Source organism: Homo sapiens, chromosome 3, assembly GCF_000001405.40.
Source record: "Homo sapiens chromosome 3, GRCh38.p14 Primary Assembly".
NCBI classification, from domain to species: domain Eukaryota; kingdom Metazoa; phylum Chordata; class Mammalia; order Primates; family Hominidae; genus Homo; species Homo sapiens.
In genome coordinates, this window is record NC_000003.12 from 151829378 (window position 1) to 151847222 (window position 17845).

General features: G+C 35.2%; 1 long non-coding RNA gene across 2 annotated transcripts in view; it reads right to left on the reverse strand.

Annotated features, from left to right (window-relative positions):
• Window positions 1–17845, reverse strand: part of AADACL2-AS1 (AADACL2 antisense RNA 1) — a 176997-nt gene that overhangs the window by 78199 nt on the left and 80953 nt on the right. The window lies entirely within an intron of this gene.

A 17845-nucleotide genomic window follows, 5' to 3' on the forward strand; every position in this document is an offset into this window, starting at 1 on the left:
TCCCAGTCTCAGGTATGTCTTTATCAGCAGCATGAAAACAGACTAATATACTCACCATCCTCAGTGTCTGTTTGTGTGTGCATACTTATAATTGTATTTTTGAGTACCGTCTAAATATTATATCTAGGCAGAGAAGGGATATGGCAGAAGAGCTGTATTTGAGGTAATTTTATTTTATCAGGAAAACAGTAGTAATCTCAGAAGATCCAACAAAGAGACTTCTTATATTTCATTTTCTAGGACGGTGTCACAAGGAATTTTGCAAAATAGAATTTTAGTAGTTGGGCAAATTGCACATTCTTATTTTAAGAAATAAGGCAATACCCTAGCCAGAGCAATCAGACAAGAGGAAGAAATAAAGGGCATCCAAATCAGTAAAGAGGAAGTCAAACTGTCACAGTTTGCCAGTGATATGATTATATGATTATATACCTAGAAAACCCTAAAGACTCATCAGATCATAGATCTGATAAATGAATTCAGTAAAGTTTCAGAATACAAAATAAAAGTACACAAATCAGTAGCTCTGCTATACACCAACAGTGACCAAGCTGAGAATCAAATCAAGAACTCAACCCCTTTTACAACAGTTGCAAAAAAATAAAATTAAATGAGATACTTAGGAATATACCTAACCAAGTAGGTGAAAGATCTCTACAAGGAAAACTACAAAACACTACTGAAAGAAATCATAGATGACACAAACAAATGGAAATACATCCCATTCTCATGGATAGGTAGAATCAGTATTGTGAAAATGACCATACTGCCAAAAGCAATCTATAAATTCAATGCAATTCCCATCAAAATACCATCATTATTCTTCACAGAACTAGAAAAAAAATTCTAAAATTCATGTGGAGCTGAAAAAGAGCCCACATAGCCAAAGCAAGACTAAGCAGAACACAAACAAACAAACAAACAAACAAAAAACAAATCTGGAGGCATCACATAACCTGACTTCAAACTATACTACAAGGCTATAGTTACCAAAACAGCATGGTACGGGTATAAAAACAGGCATGTAGACCAATGGAACAGAATAGAGAACCAAGAAATGAAGCCAAATACTTACAGCCAACAAAGCAAACAAAAACATAAAGTGGGGAAAAGACAACCTATTCAACAAATGATGCTGGGATAACTGGCAAGCCACATGGAGAAGAATGAAACTGGATCCTTATCTCTCATCTTACACAAAAATCAACTCAAGATGAATCAAAGACTTAAATCTAAGACCTGAAACCATAAAAATTCTAGAAGATAACGTTGGAAAAAACATCTTCTACCTATTGGCTTAGGCAAAGTGTTCATGATGAAGAACCCAAAAGCCAATGCAACAAAAACAAAAATAAATAGGTGGGACTTAATTAAGCTAACACACTTCTGCACAGCACAGCAAATGAAATAATCAGCAGAGTTAACAGACAACCCACAGAGTGGGAGAAAATCCTTGCAAATTATGCATCCAGCAAAGGACTAATATCCAGAATCCACAAGGAACTCAAACAAATCAGCAAGAAAAAAATAATCCAATCAAAAAATGGGCTAAGGACATGAATAGACAATTCTCAATAGAAGATATACAAGTGTCCAAGAAACATGAAAAAATGCTCAGCATCACTAATTATCAGAGAATGCGAATCAAACCACAATGCAATACCACCTTACTCCTGCAAGAAGGCCATAATTTAAAAATCAAAAAATAATAGATGTTGGCATGGATGTGGACAAAAGTGTAAAAGAAAACACTTTTACACTGTGGTGGAAATGTAAAGTAATACAACCACTATGGAAAACAGTACGGAACTTTCTTAAAGAACTAAAAGTAGAACTACCATTTGATCCAGTAATCCTGCTACTGGGTATCTTCCCAAAGGGAAAAGAAGTCATTATATGAAAAAGACACTTGCACACGCATGTTTACAGCAGCACAATTTGCAATTGCAAAAATATGGAATCAGCCTAAATGCCCATTAACCAACAAGTGGACAAAGAAAATGTTACACACACACACACACACACACACACACACACACCATGGAATACTACCCAGCCATAAAAAGAAATGAAATAATGGAATTTTCAGAAACCTGGATGGGTTTGGGGACCATCACTGTAAGTGAAATAACTCAGGAGTGGAAAACAAAATATCATATGTTCTCACTTATAAGTCAGAGCTGAGTCATGAGGACACAAAGGCATAAGAATGATATAATGAACACAGGGGACTTGGGGGGAAAGTTGAGAGGGCGGTGAGGGATAAAATACTACACACTGGGACAGTGTACACTGCTCAGGTGATGAGTGCAACAAAATCTCAGAAATTACCACTAAAGAACTTATCCATCTAACCAAATACCACCTGTTGCCCCAAAACTTTTAAAATAATGAAAAATGAAAAAAAAAAGTCCAGGGGATAAAAGTTGGAAAAAGATAAAAGCACTTAATCTGTAAAACAGGCAGAAAATAAAGAAAGAAAAGAAAAGAAAAGGAAAGGAAAGAAACCAATAATATAGGCAACTAGTAGAATATGCCACACATATCTACAGCAGGAATTTGTTAAAAAGCAATTGTGGAATGATGATTTTCTGAGTAAATAAGGAGAGTTGTAGGTTAATATTAAAGGTAATGAATAGAAACATAAGTTGGATTATGGTCCCAAATTGACCGTTTCTGTACCATGTACAAATAAAAAATGTGTTGGCTGCTTTGAAATAATCTCTAGAACTCATCCATGCCTGGCGTGTGCTATTGTTTTATCTGATCCTTCTTCAAGGGTAGAAAGCAGTGACACTAACATGGATACTAACAAGCAAACACCTTCTTGGCCAGAAAGTGGGGTTTTTAACTGTTATCTGTGATATTTGTACATTAAGCAAATATTTTCTTTGACACTTTGATATTCTGCTTTTTGTCCTAAAGGCAAAAAGCAGACAGGAGAAGCAGGTCAGAGTGTCAGCCTACTGAGATCTATGAAATTAACATTCTGAAAGTTGGAACTTTATCTTCATAAAGGTGATAATGTTTTTAGATTAGTTTAATTTTTAGTAAAATTGAGTGGCAGTGATACAATTTCAAAACAGGGGGATTACTTTGGGAGAAAATCCAAAAATTCCAATGATCTGGCAATTCTATTTCAGGTGTTTTTCTCAAAACAAATTGAAACATAGGTCTACAAGACAGACTGGTACACGTAAGTGTATTCTGGCTTTATTAGTATCAGCAAAAAATTGGGGGGGGGGTGGAATTCTCCAACATTTTCTATTTTCCTCCTCTTCAACTTCTAACAACTGAAATTTAGTACTTACTTGAGGACGCTGCTTTCTCTATATTCCTTACATCACAAGGGCTAGGAGTGAGGTACGGATTTGCCTTACTGCTCCTTGAAGAACATTCCTTCTACCGCCAGTTTTGTTCAGGGGTTAGCAACCCACAGCCTACTGGCCAAATTCAACCTCTTGCCTGTTTTTGAACAACTCTAAGCTAAAAATGGTTTATACATTATAAAGCACTGTGGAAAAAATAAGAAAAATAAGAAGCAGTGATGGTAGCAGTGGAGGAGGAGGAACAGGAGGAGCAACAGCAGGAGCAAGAAGAGCAGGAGGAGGGAGGAACAGGAGCAGGAAACAAAGACTATATGTGACTGGCAAAGCCTAAAATATTTATTATCTGACCCTTTACAGAAAAAGCTTGCAATAGACCTTACCACCACTATCAGTCCTTTTTGTAGTCAACTCCTGAGCCCTGTGTTACTCTCCCTCATATCTTAAAAGATTTTGAGCTCACTGACAATATCTCACAATTACATTGGTAATCTCAGTATTTATCTAGATGATCCGTCGAGCTACCTAGAATCCCAGCTGTTTGGAATTCTCTCCCCTAATAATCTTGTTCTTTTAGTGGATAAAAAACTCTCATGGTCAATCCTAGAATGTGTTATGATCAATTACTGTGCCTACTCTATAATATCAATACCAAACATTCCAGTTCACTCCAGTTGGGTCTCTAATTTTAATAACATTTAAGAAATAATAGAAGTTAAAATTCATTGACTATATCCAACACTTCACTCTTCCTCATTGCCCTAATGTAATTTTTTCTCTTCCTTACCCAGAATATGTTCTGTGGTCAGTTAGAGCAATGCCTCCCTTGCATAAGCCATCAACCATCAACCCCCGTGGATCTCTACTAATGTACTTGTTTATCAAAACTCCAACCTTGAAGACATTCACCTACTGCCTACTCTTCACATGTACCTATGCAGTTACACATGGTTGGAGAAAACCAAAAAAGTGCTGAAATTTCCCACTTAAATGAAGTCTGTAAACCTCGATTATGCCTTTAATAATGCCTAGCAATCATACTATAATTTTCCAGTCCCTTGAGACTTCTGTTCCTAACTCTCATCAGGTCTCCAATACCTCCTCTGCCATCTTTTATCACAGCTGATAACTGTGCTTCCTATTTCACCGAGGACACAGAAACAATTGAAGAAAATTTCCACAAGTTCTCACCCTATATCAACCTCTATCGTCTATTTCACCTTTTATTACTATAGATGAACTAAGCGTTTGTGCTTCTGTGTAAGGATTGTTCCTCTCAATATGTGCACACGTAAATGACTCTTGATTTTGATGTTTCTTCAAATTTGTTGTGTATTAAGAATCATCTCAAAGGGTTCTTTTAACAAATGAATTTTGAGATACCACTACCCAGAATTTTCCTTCATCAAGAAGCCCTTAGATGATTCCAAAAAAAGAACATTTGAAATAAAACCAATCTGGTGACAGAGAAAGATAAATATATTAACCACTTCAATTGATAGAAATAAGAATTTTGTTCTTCAGACTGGAAAGAAGGAAGGAAGCATACTGCCAAGAAAACCTTGACACTTGCCCTGAATTTGGAGGAACAAACAGGAGTCCCCAGTGAAGAGGATAGCTATGGGAAAGCATTTGCAACAGGAGAAACAATGCTTTGGAGATCCTGGAGGCAGTAAACCACATAGTTCACTTCATCCTTTGACATCTTTCCTAGAGAGTAGAAGGCAGGGAAGCTGGCTGGAGAAGTGAAGTTCTGAGGAGCCTGGGCTGCTGAGCCAAATACACTGAAGGTTGCTCTGATTGATGCAGTACGTGATATGATCTTTAGGAGAACAGTGTGGTAGGTGGACTGCAGAGACACTAAATGGAAACAGAATGAGGCCCTGGCTATACCTGCAGTGATTGTGTGGCCTGAGAAGCTGCAAAAAAACTAGGGGAGTGTCTCTGAGGAATTTGCAGGGACATAAGAATTTCAAGAGGAAGGGGGTAATTGGTTCTGTCAATGCTAAAAATAAGATGTGAAAAAGTGTCAGATAGTCTCCTAAAAACCTGTGGCTCATGCAGTTACTTTCTGTAACTTCCTTTTTCCTTCCCCAACCTTAAAATATAAGGGTGAAGTCAAGTCATTCCTTTATGACATAGGGCAGTGGTCTCATATTACTATCACACGAGAGTTTTAAAACATCATTTGCTGAAGCCACACCTTGAGCTATTATTATGTCTCAATCTCTGAAGGTATGGCCTAAGCATCAGTATTTTTTTGAAGCTCTTCACAAGATTTCAATGTACAGGAAGATCAAGAAACACTGACTTAGAGAGTGAGGAACATTTCTTTTCATGTACAGAGTTCCAACACCATTTAAGTGTTTCAATTTCCCAGTAGTAATATTTATCACCCACCAATAATATTCATCAGACTTTACTTTAGGAAATATATATCTTAGAAAATCCTACAGATAGATAGATAGATAGATAGATAGATAGATAGATAGACAGATAGATACAGATATACACATACATATATGTATATATGTATATATCATAGAACTAAATGAATATATAAATACGTGTGTGCACACATTTAGTTTTCACAATTTCATTAGGTAAACAATATATGTAGTATATATAAAAATATACATATATTTTTTGACATATATAAAATATATATATAAGTATACATATATATATATATATATATATATATATTTTTTTTTTTTTTTTTTTTTTTTTTTTTTTTTTGAGATGGAGTCTCACTCTGTTGCCCAGGCTGGAGTGCAGTGGCGCGATCTCGGCTCACTGTAACCTCCGCCTCCCGGGTTCAAGAGATTCTCCTGCCTCCGCTTCTGGAGCAGCTGGGATCACAGGCACCCACCACCACACCCGTCTAATTTTTGTATTTTTTAGTAGAGACGGGGTTTCGCCATGTTGGCCAGGCTGGTCTTGAACTCCTGACCTCAGGTGATCCGCCCTCCTCAGCCTCCCCAAGTGCTGGGATTACAGGCGTGAGCCACCGCTCCCGGCTGACAACAATATTAATAGGTATTTTGCAGAGAAGGAAAAGGAAGAAATTGAATTTACATGGGTTTCCAAGGTCCCATGGCTAATAAGTGGCAGAGCTGGAAGCCAACCCCCATAGGCCAGTTTCAAAGGCTTTGCCATCAATTGCTTAAGGATTTTGGAGACTACTTTTTGCTTTCTTAGAAAGGGTGGTAGGAAAACAAGGGAATCTGAATCATACAAATACCAGATTAAGTATAAAACCACTAACTAGGTAACCTCAGGAAAATCTCAAGATTCCTGAGACTGCCGCAAAGATCCACAGCTCTGTTGTTAATAGTGTGCAACGTGGATAATCAAGAGTTAATTATGCTTAGTTTCTTTACCATATAAACAAATCAATACCACTTCTGATGTACCTCAATAGTGGAAAAAGCATTTAACATTCTGCAATGAATCACTGCAAATTGGTATGTTGCTTTGGCCCTAAGTGTATGTGTTGGGGAGCGGCAGGAGGGAATTTGAGCTGCACAAATACCCAGTAAACCAAAAAGGTGCTCAGGCATTTAGAAACTCACCAGGTGCCAGAGGGGGCATGACACGCAGGATCCAGGAGAAGATTTTGATTTCCTCTGTGCTCTGAGCTCTTTAACCTGGACCTGAGGAATATCTGCCCAGCAACCCGTCAAAAGGAAGCAGTGGGAAAAAAAGCACACAGCTGTGGCTGGTGACCATTTTAACCTCAAAAAAACCACAGCTGCTGGTTGTTACCAAATGCCAAAAAATCACTAAACCTTGTTGATTGTTTCATGTAACTTATGTCTAGCCTTCTAGCCTTTAAAATTTTTCATTTACAGGAGGAGCAGTATTGAAAATAAATAAAATTAAATTAAAAAATAAAATAAAATAAACTTTTCATAGCTTTCCCGGAGTTTTTCAAGTTTATTTTATATTATATTATTGTTAAACGGGGTCTAATCTTGGTACCAGTACTTTAAATTATTCTCTTAGAATAAATATTCACAATTTCTTTCTCTTGATGCCAAAAAGAGATTAATTAGGGCTGGAATTATTTCCAATGGCATTTCAAAAATTCTTAGCTCCTCCTCTCCCTAGGCTTGAGCATTGTTATAAAATTAAAAATAGCCCATTTTGGAAAGTCCAAGATTCTTTAAAACTGAAGTCTCTTATAAAAAATCAAGAGGAGGCTGAGAGGAGGCTTCTCTCTCATTTGCCAATTTCTTTAAAACAAGAGGCACCGTTGTCAGTACTTTTAAAGTGCTGAAAAAGACTACAAGCCTGCAAAAGAAGGCTGAGTGTTTCATTCTAGAGCTGTTTTTTCTTAGTGAACATCCATTGACTTCATTTGGAGGTTGTATCTGAGTGAGCCCTCTTTCTTACAAGTAAAGTAAAACACCAGTCAGCTGAACTCTTTATCAAACATACTCTTCATTTATCTCTTGATGACACAATGTCACTCTTCCCTTTCAAGCTGAGCCTTCAGATTCTCCAAAGGTTTCGACCTCCCACAAAGTCTTCACGAGGTGACTCGCTCTTCAAGGAGCCCTGCTATTATGCCATATGGTGTTATGACTCAGCAAACCTGCAGTCCCTTCTACTTCCGAGACCTGGAAAGACATGTTCTAACTGCTTCTGGATGAACCAGGCATACCAGTATTAGTTCATGCCATCCAAAAAGAAACTTCATGTTCTTTTTAACTCTAAATTACTAAAGCTAAAAGTTACAGTCTTCTGATCTTCAAGAGTTCCCAGAATTATGCTCTCTGGTGATTAAACTCCCTTCCCTAAAAAGTGGCTCATCCTAATAGTGCAATGTTCACTATGTGTCAGCTTTAAAATTCTATGCCTGTAAAATACTCGAAGTTTAGAGAATGCATCTTTTTTCAAACGCTTCTTAACTTTCTGAGGGTGAGGACCAATTTAACAGGATTACATGTAAATTGGCCTTTCAGCTATGACCATTTCAAATCTTGGAAAATTTTTCTCCTGCATACGCTTTATCCTTAAGTAAAGATACATAGTATCTATTTAGAGATCTAATCACAACTTTATAACCTTTAAAATATTTATTCTATAAATTAAATACCAAATATGAACATATAGCGTGTACACATATGCATATATGTACATATGTATGTGTGTGTATATATAGGTATACACATATACATAAAATCTCAAACAAAGAAATTGTCAATAAGATTAAACTGTGGCTCCCTGGAGTATACGAGAAGTTATATACATGAGCTAGAACTCAATCAGTAATTTGGAATTGAAGATTGGCTTAGGAAATAAGAAACTTCATACTTTATACTAATTTAAGTAAAACACTTTGCTTGAATATATTTAAGTATATAGACTGTTAGATGAATTCTATTTTTAATCTAATTAAATTAGAAGTAACATGCATTAGTATATTAGCTAAATCTCATTTATTTACAGTGAATCGAAGTTGGACATATTCCTTGAAAATATTTTGAAAATTATTTTAATGATTAAGAATCAATTAAAAAGAGATTTTACTTTATTTGCTAAAGAATGACTTTCAATAGTTTAGTCTCAAAATTGTTACACATGATTACCAGTGTGAAATATATGAGCAAAGATAAAAATAATACCTCCCTGCCAAAAACAGCTCCTGTTAGAAAATATTTTATTAACTAATCAAATAATCTTCTGGTAAATACAGAGAGATGTTTAAAGGTTGCAATCGAATTACAAGGACACAATAAAACTAAAGGAAATGCAAGAATGCCAGAACCGTTTATTAATAAAATACTGATTTATACAATTGATATTAAAAATGACAGTTATTTTGTCGTTTTCTTTTGAAAATAAGCAAATTATGCCTGTAATCTCAGCACTTTGGGAAGCCGAGGTGGGCGGATCACGAGGTCAGGAGATGGAGACCATCCTGGCTAACATGGTGAAATCCTATCTCTACTAAAAATACAAAAAATTAGCCAGGCATGATGGAACGCGCCTGTAGTCCAGACTACTCGGGAGGCTGAGGCAGGAGAATCACTTGAACCCAGGAGGTGGAGGTGGCACTGAGCAGAGATTGCGCCGAGATTGCGCCACTGCACCTCAGCCTGGGCAACAGAGCGAGACTCTGTCTCAAAATAAACAAACAAACAAACAAACTATTATTTAAAAATTAATGTAAAATAATGGATTAGAAATTATTACAATTTACTTCTTCAGCTTAATCATGTATGATTTCCGTACAGTTTTCACTTAGAAGACAATAAGAGAGAAGATGCGTATCGTCAAATGAGTTTAGATTTTTAAGTGCTCAATTTTCCAATACAGTGCAAAGAAACTGAAATTGCTTTCGGTCAGAAGAAAATAAGATAAAATTCAGTAAAAAGGAAATAAAGCCAAATGCATTCAGTTGGAACGGAACTCCGCCAGTTAGTGACTACAGCGTAAGGATTGTTTTCTTTCATACGTTCTTAGTCTGCCCCCTTGTGGGCTCCAGAAAGCTGTTACCCAGCATAAGCTAACGTGATAAAGTTAGATATCCAATAAAATCATGTTTTAATAATTCCTTTAATGTGGTTTAGAAAAATGTCTAAACTTGCTTTAGTTTATCAAACAAAAGCATTTAAAATTATAAATAAATATCTCAAAACTTACACCTCTAAATAAATTGAAAGAAGATATTTCCTTTAATTCCTAAAATTCTTTTTAAGAATGAAATTACCCATCCTGGGCAACATAGCGAGAGTCTGTCTCTAAAACAATTAGCCAGGGATGGTGCCATAGTCCCAGCCTCTCAGCAGGCTGAGATGGCAGGATCCTTTGAGCCAAGGAGTTTCAAGTTTCAGTGAACTGCCATCATTATGCCACTGTGCTCCAGCCTGGGCTGAGAGAGGGAGGCTCCATCTCTCAAAAGAAAAGAAAAAGAAAATAAATTACTATATAAGCCTCATAGAAATTGGAACTATAAAGCAATTGTCAAAAAATGCTATCTGAAACAATCTAGCTGAGGTGGGTTTTTTTTGCATTTATTTAATGTTCCATGTATAGAATGGAAAGCATTTATGACTTCTTTGTAAAAATAAACTGCATTACTATTATTGGAGAGACGAAGAGGCACATTAACTACATTATCTTCTTGTAATTGAAAATTGCTCCGATGGAGATACTGCAAGTTTGAAGATCTGAACTTCATTGCCGATGTCATTGTCATTCCTTGATTTGCCTAAACTTAAAATTTCAACATTTGTAGATTAAAAGGTATCCTGTGATAACCATCTCCTGGCATATTTTATAACTAATAGATAAATATTGTTGATGTCTTTTAAATTAAATTCTTAAATTTTTAGTATTTAAATAGGCAATCACTAGGTAACTATAATCAATATGCTTGATTTTGTTTTTTATTACATATTCCATATGTTTCATTTTATCTTCTACATTACACACAGTCCTTCCATGAATTCAGGCATATGTTGTTTTTTCATTTTTGGCAGTACAATACACTTTTGGCTTTCCATGTTTAATTGGATGAGTAGATTCTTACAAAAAATAAGACAAAGAATAAACACTAATATTTCGATTAATTATAATACCATTTTCTCAAGTAGTGTTCCAGGATTCAGTATGACCATAACCTTTAAGTAAAGTTCAATACATTGTTTCAAGATAGAAAGCAAAGTAAAACCAGGTGGTACAAACTAAGTTACATGCTCATACAGGCCCACGCGCATGTGTGCACACACACACACATACACACACACTCACAATTTTCTTACCAACACATCTCTCTGTAACTCTTTGGTGATCCTGGACAAGGTTCCCACGCCTCTTTGGATTTAGTTTTCTCGCCTATGAAATGGTACTATATCAGCTGGTCAATATTTTTTTGAACTGAGGTCTACAGATCTGCTTATGTGTCCACAAGTGGTCCAGTAGAATTTTAAAGTACAGTTTTCCCTCAGTATCTCTAGGGAATTGATTCCAGGACCTCTCACAAATACCAAAATCCATTGATGCTCAAGTTCCTGTTATAAAATGGCATAGTATTTGCAAATACCAAAATCTATTGATGCTCAAGTTCCTGTTATAAAATGGCATAGTATTTGCATATAATCTAAGCAAATCCTCCTCTATAGATTATATGCAAATCCTCCTCTATTCAGTCATGAATCACTTAACCATAGGGATACATTCTGAGAAATGTTGTTAAGCAATTTTTTTGTTGCGTGAATTTCATAGAATGTACTTACACAAACCTAGATGATATAGCCGACTATACACCTAGGCTATATGGTACAGCCCTATCACTTCTAGGCTGCAAACCTGTACAGCATGTTAGGGTACTAAATACCACAGGCAATTGGAATACAACTGTATTAGTGTATCTAAACATATTTAAACATAGCAAAGGCAATGCCATGCACTATAATGTTAAAATGGCTGTGATATCACTAGACAGTAGAAAATTTTCAGCTTCATTAGAATGTTATGGGGCCACCATTGTATATGTGGTCTAAAACATCAATATGTAGCACATAACTGTACTTTAAATAAGCTCTAGGTTACTTATAATACCTCATCCAATGTAAATGATATGTAAATAGTTATTATACCATGTTGTTTAAGGAATATGACAAGAAAAAATGTCTGCATATGTTTAGTGCAGATGCGATTCAAAAAAATGTATTTTTGATCCAGGATTGGTTGAATCCACAGATGTATAACTCATGACTATGAAGGGATGACTGTGCTTTGTTTTTATAATTATGGTAATATAAACACATACACAAATTGTGGATCATTTAGATGACCACTTTATAACTGGGCACAGCCATGAAACCAAAACCTAAAGTCGAGGTTTTGAATTTTTAAAATTGAAAAATCTTTGTAGTCCTCATAGGTACTCTTGATAGTCCACAAGTGCCCAAATTTGAGAAACGTTTCTCAAATTCCTTTCAGCATTTAATATTGATTTAAAAATGTGATGCTCACTTGCTTTAAATGAAGCTACCAGCAGAAAGCAGCACACTGAAAAAAAAAAAGACAAAATTGCTTTTCCTCTATTAGGTTTGTGTGCTCAACTCCTATAAGCATCTTGAAAGAAGTAGAGCGATTTAGACGATAATGCATTTGACGTCTAAACCCAAGCAGTAACAGTGTTTGTGAAGGAAAACCTCCAGGAAGAGCTTGCTAAAATTTCTAACAAAATGATGTTAATCTATAGTGCTCTTTGTCAGCATGTAACAGAAGAGATGTCATAAACTCCGAGAGAAAAGAAAAGTCAAAACATTAAAAGGATTCGTGACATCAATGATACAGAAGCAAAGAATGTTAAACATTTCAAGGAAATACACTCCACAAACACAAAAGTCGCTCCCTTGTGGTTTCAAAATAATTGAACCTATGCAAAAATGAAGTTATTAATGAATGGACTGAACATTATTAAGAGCAATTTATCAAAAGAAAGATAGATTGCTGATCAGTTGCAGAATGAACATACTCCAAACGTAAAGATGGTTCAGAGTATTTGGACTAATCAATTGTAATAACTCAAAGCAGAAGGAAATAGATGGCAAGTAGAAAGACTAATATCTGTTGAGCTTCTAATGTGTGTTTATTTTAATCAAATAATTACTAAGATCATCTACTAATAACAATCATGGGTTCAAACTCTGTCTCTGCTAACAAATAGTTCAAAGCCCACAAATTTGTAAAGATCACTAAAAAAAAAAAGCAGAATTCAAAAATTGTCAAATACAGAATTCTTATTTTTGGGAGCCAATATAATTAGTTACCAATATTTATTTTTTGTTTGTTTTGGGGGTTTTTCATTTTATTTTTTGTTTTCTGGGTTTGTTTTTGTTTTGAGACAGGGTCTCACTCTGTCATCCTGGCTAGAGTGCAGCAGTGCAATTATGGCTCAGCCTTATCCTCCCCAGGCTCAGGTGATTCTCCCGTATCAGCCTCTGGAGTGGCTGGGACTACAGGCGTGTGCCACCATGCCAGGCTAACTTTGCTATTTTCTGTAGAGACCAGGGTTTTGCCATGTTCCCAGGCTGGTCTTGAACTCCTGGGCTCAAGGGATCCTCCCGACTCTGCCTCCCAAAGTAGAGGGATTACAGGCTTGAGTCACCAGGCACAGCCAGTTACCAACACTTAATTACTATATCGATGCTACTTTTGTGATCTAATTATTTGAGTTTTATTTAATTTGATCTGATATGTTGAGTATAATACAGACAATCATGAATTTGTTACCAAAATATTTAATGATTATACTTTTTCATTAAAAAAACTAATTTAAAATTCATAACTGAATAAGCATTTGTCATAAAATACATCATTATCCTATAATTAACTTCTTTCTTTTTAGCATATATGTGTTATTTCTAGACATATAACAGAGGGGATATGTTTTAATATTAAAATTATAACTTTAATTTTTTAAAAAAATCATATTTCTTTATGAATCAGTCCTTAAAAATTTTAGACTCTTTATGGCCCCATATATTCATTTCTGATCAAACACACCGAAAATAAAAACAAAAACCCAGATAAACACCAAAACTGCCCATCTAAGTTAGATCTGCCCCTTTCTCTCTTGCCAATAATGGAAAAATCACCAGCTTTCACAACTTTGCAGAAAAGGTCAAAAATAAACAAAAGAACAGGCCATGTGTTTTATTATGATGTTAACACAAATAAAAGAGAAAGCAAACATTTCTCCCTCTGCTTTCATAGTACACAAGATTAAAAGCAACAGCTGGCTTTGCCTTCCTAAAACTATCTATCATGTTCACAATTGCCTAACACTGACTTAGAGATAAACTGAGCTGAAGGTATACAGAGAGAAGGGTTCTATCATAATTGTGCCACGACTTCTGGCTGACTGAATTCTGTGAAACCTACAGCACACCCTCTGATATTCTCCCTCACCTCAGAGCAGTGTCTCAACACTTTACTAATTAGTGTACTAGCCTTGTGATTTTGCCATATCTAGGTGTCATCCATACTATTAATTTTCTTAATGTTTTCTATTAATTATTATAAAATTAAATACATTTGTTCTTAAGAAGCCAACTTTATGTTATATCATAAATAGGAAAGTAGTGTCTCCTGTCATGAATGTAATAGAAATAAAATACTAGTACATACTATCTGAATACTCTTGCCTATCAAAACTCTGAGCCTAAGGCCTCACATATCTTTTATAAAGGATAACAGCAAGTGTTACAGAATACTAAAAACTTGAAATAATCAAATAAGAGTTTCTTCTTGATGTATTTCACATTGGTTGAAAGGTAATTGTAAAAAGGAAATGCAAGATTCGAGTTTGGTAATAAAAAAGTCAGGATTGATAATGTTTTAGATTCGTACATTTCCAGGCACTTCAGAAAAATATCAATTTTATGTCAAGCTCCAAGACAACCCAGAATATCCCATCAGGCCTCCCCAAGGTTGGAGTGAAGTCTGCTGGAGGCATAATAGGTTTCATTATCCACAGACTCAGCTCTCCATCTGTCCGTATCATTCCTTTCTCCTGATATACAATTCTCTCACCATGTTTCCTTCAAGTTAAGAGGCTGTTAAATGTACACTGGCTACTATATTAGAGTAAGAGCAACTTATTGGGTATAAATAAAACTATGAAATTTGACAAAAATATAGTTTGGAATTTGCTGTTGTTTTCAGGTTTACTTCCATCCAATACTAGGCTGAGGTCAGTTATGTTTATTTTGTTTGCTTGTTTTCTTCCCAGTTGTATTAATTATTGAGCATTTAAGATCCAATTTTGTTTGCCTCCAAAGTTTGCCATTGATCAACATATAATTCAATTTCTACAAACAAATGATAAAACTTAACCGAACCAACTATGCCCAAACCACATCAGTTAACACCACTTGTCTGAATAGAATTCTTTTCATTCTCTAAGGCTCAACCCCAAAACATTTTCTCTTTACTTTCTCAATAAGAACTTTATTTCATTGTTGCAACACTCAATTTTTGTCCTTTTTTAAAAAATTATTTAAAAAATTATTTTTTATTTCATATTTCCCTGTAGTACCTATTATAATGTTTTGTATTAGAAACTAAATAATTGCTGAATTCATTTATGAATAAATAAATAGGAAGTGACTATATTTGAACCGAACACTATTAAAGACTTCCCAAACAATTATGTTGATTATATTAAAGAGAATATATATCTTGTTTTTTGCATAACAGTATATTGAATCTCTAATGAAAACAAGCTTTGAAAATATATTTAGGAGATTAACTTTACATTTTAAAATCCAATGTGTAGAATTTTTACAAATATGACAGTATTTTGTATAGAAATGTACTCCCTCCCTCAAAGGAAGAATGGAGAAAGTCATTGCTTTATCCTGATTCCATTTAATAAAATTTATATCGGTCCTCAGAGAATTTATTTATTTAATTAATTTATTTAATTTTATGTTAGTATTAAAACTAGCATAACTATGTCATATAATAGCAACTTATAGTCAATGTAGAGACTAAAGCTTTTAGAGTTGTTTTATAAAAGCAGATCTAACAAATACTTTTAAAATGTTTATCTTTTTAACTTAGCTATAATTTATTACTGAGTAAGATATAAATCAAAGTTAATCATTCTCTGTATTTTTATTGCTTTAAAAGGCATGTCTGAAATGGTGAATTATTTTCTCATTAGAATTTTAATCAATTACTAAAGTTCCATTTTATAATTTATTTATTTTTGTAGTCAATATTTAATCTGCTATTATGTGTTAAGCACTTCAAGTGAATAATGATTAATCAGTTTTCGTCCTTTCTGTTTAGTTGGGACTCTTGTTTTTAAGTAAAAGAAACACGTTTAATCATCTAAATAATAAAGCAGTTTAGTGGGGATTTGAAGGAATATGGGAGAGCAATTTCTAAAATATGGAAAAACAGCTCATAGAAAAACCAAAGGCAGAAACTGCCTAGAGCCACAGCTCATGGAAAAGTGAAGGTAACAGCTACCAGGGACCCAAGCTCCTATCTCCTAGAGGGTGATTCCTCTACCTTGCTCTGGATTTCTGATTTAAAATGGAATAAATGACACAGCAACACCCTTTACCTCACAGAAATCTTGATACATGCTTTGACTTCTGCTCTTGATGATGCCTCATTTTCTCAGTTACCCCGTTTGAAATTTCCAAAGAGAAATCTAATATCTAGGCTTACTTTTCCAAACCAGATTATTTAATTCAGAGGTCAAACCATGAGAGCCCACCCCTAAACATCCTGCACAATAAGGGCTTACTTGCTCAGCACACCCTGTGGGTTAGCAGGATCTCTTAAGTGTGACTGAGATTTCTTGAACATTTTCCTCCAAAAACTTCGGGTTTCTTGAGGTAGATAAGTACATCATCCAAAGTATTCTTTGCATATTCACAGGTAGAACCAAATTTCACTTTCTAGTTTTTTCAAATAGTATGTTAACATAATCATGTATGTTTTCTTATCTCACTTTACAAGTAAAATTCTTGTCAGATTACATACTGAATTCTATTCCTTAAGATATATTTCTTTTTTTCTTTTTTCTTTTACTTTAACTTCTGGGATACAAGTGCAGAACATGCAGGTTTGTTACATAGGTATACATGTGCCAGAGTGGTTTGCTGCACCTATCAAGCCATCATCTAGGTTTTAAGCCCCACGTGCATTAGCTATTTGTCCTAACGTTCTCCCTCCCTTCGCCCCCAAGCCCCTGACTGGCCCAAGTGTGTGTTGTTACCTTCCCTGTGTCCATGTGTTCTCATTGTTCGACTCCCACTTATGAGTGAGAACGTGTGGTGTTTGGTTTTCTGTTCCTGTGTTAGTTTGCTGAGGATGATGGCTTCTAGCTTCATCCTTGTCCCTGCAAAGGACATGAACTCATTCGTTTTTAGGGCTGCATAGTATTCCATGGTGTATATTACCACATTTTCTTTATCCAGTCTATCATTGATGGGCATTTGGGTTGGTTCCATGTCTTTGTTATTGTAAATAGTGCCGCAGTAAACATTCATGTGCATGTGTCTTTATAGTAGAATGATTTATAATCCTTTGGGTATATACCCAGGAATGGGATCGCCGGGTCAAATGGTATTTCTGGTTCTAGATCCTTGAGGAATCGCCCCACTGTCTTCAACAATGGTTGAACTAATTTACATCCCCACCAAGTGTAAAAGCGTCTCTATTTCTCCACAGCATCACCAGCATCTATTGTTTCTTGACCTTTTTAATAATCGCCATTCTGACTGGCATGAGATAGTATCTCATTGTGGTTTTGATTTGCACTTCTCTAATGATGAGTGATGTTGAGCTTTTTTTTATGTTTATTGGCTGTATAAATGTCTTCTTTTGAGAAGTGTCTATTCACATCCTTTGCCTACTTTTTGATGGGGTTGTTTTTTTTCCTGTAAATTTGTTTAAGTTCTTTGTAGATTCTGAATATTAGACCTTTGTCAGGTGGGTAGATTGCAAAAATTTTCTCCTGTTCTTTAGGTTGT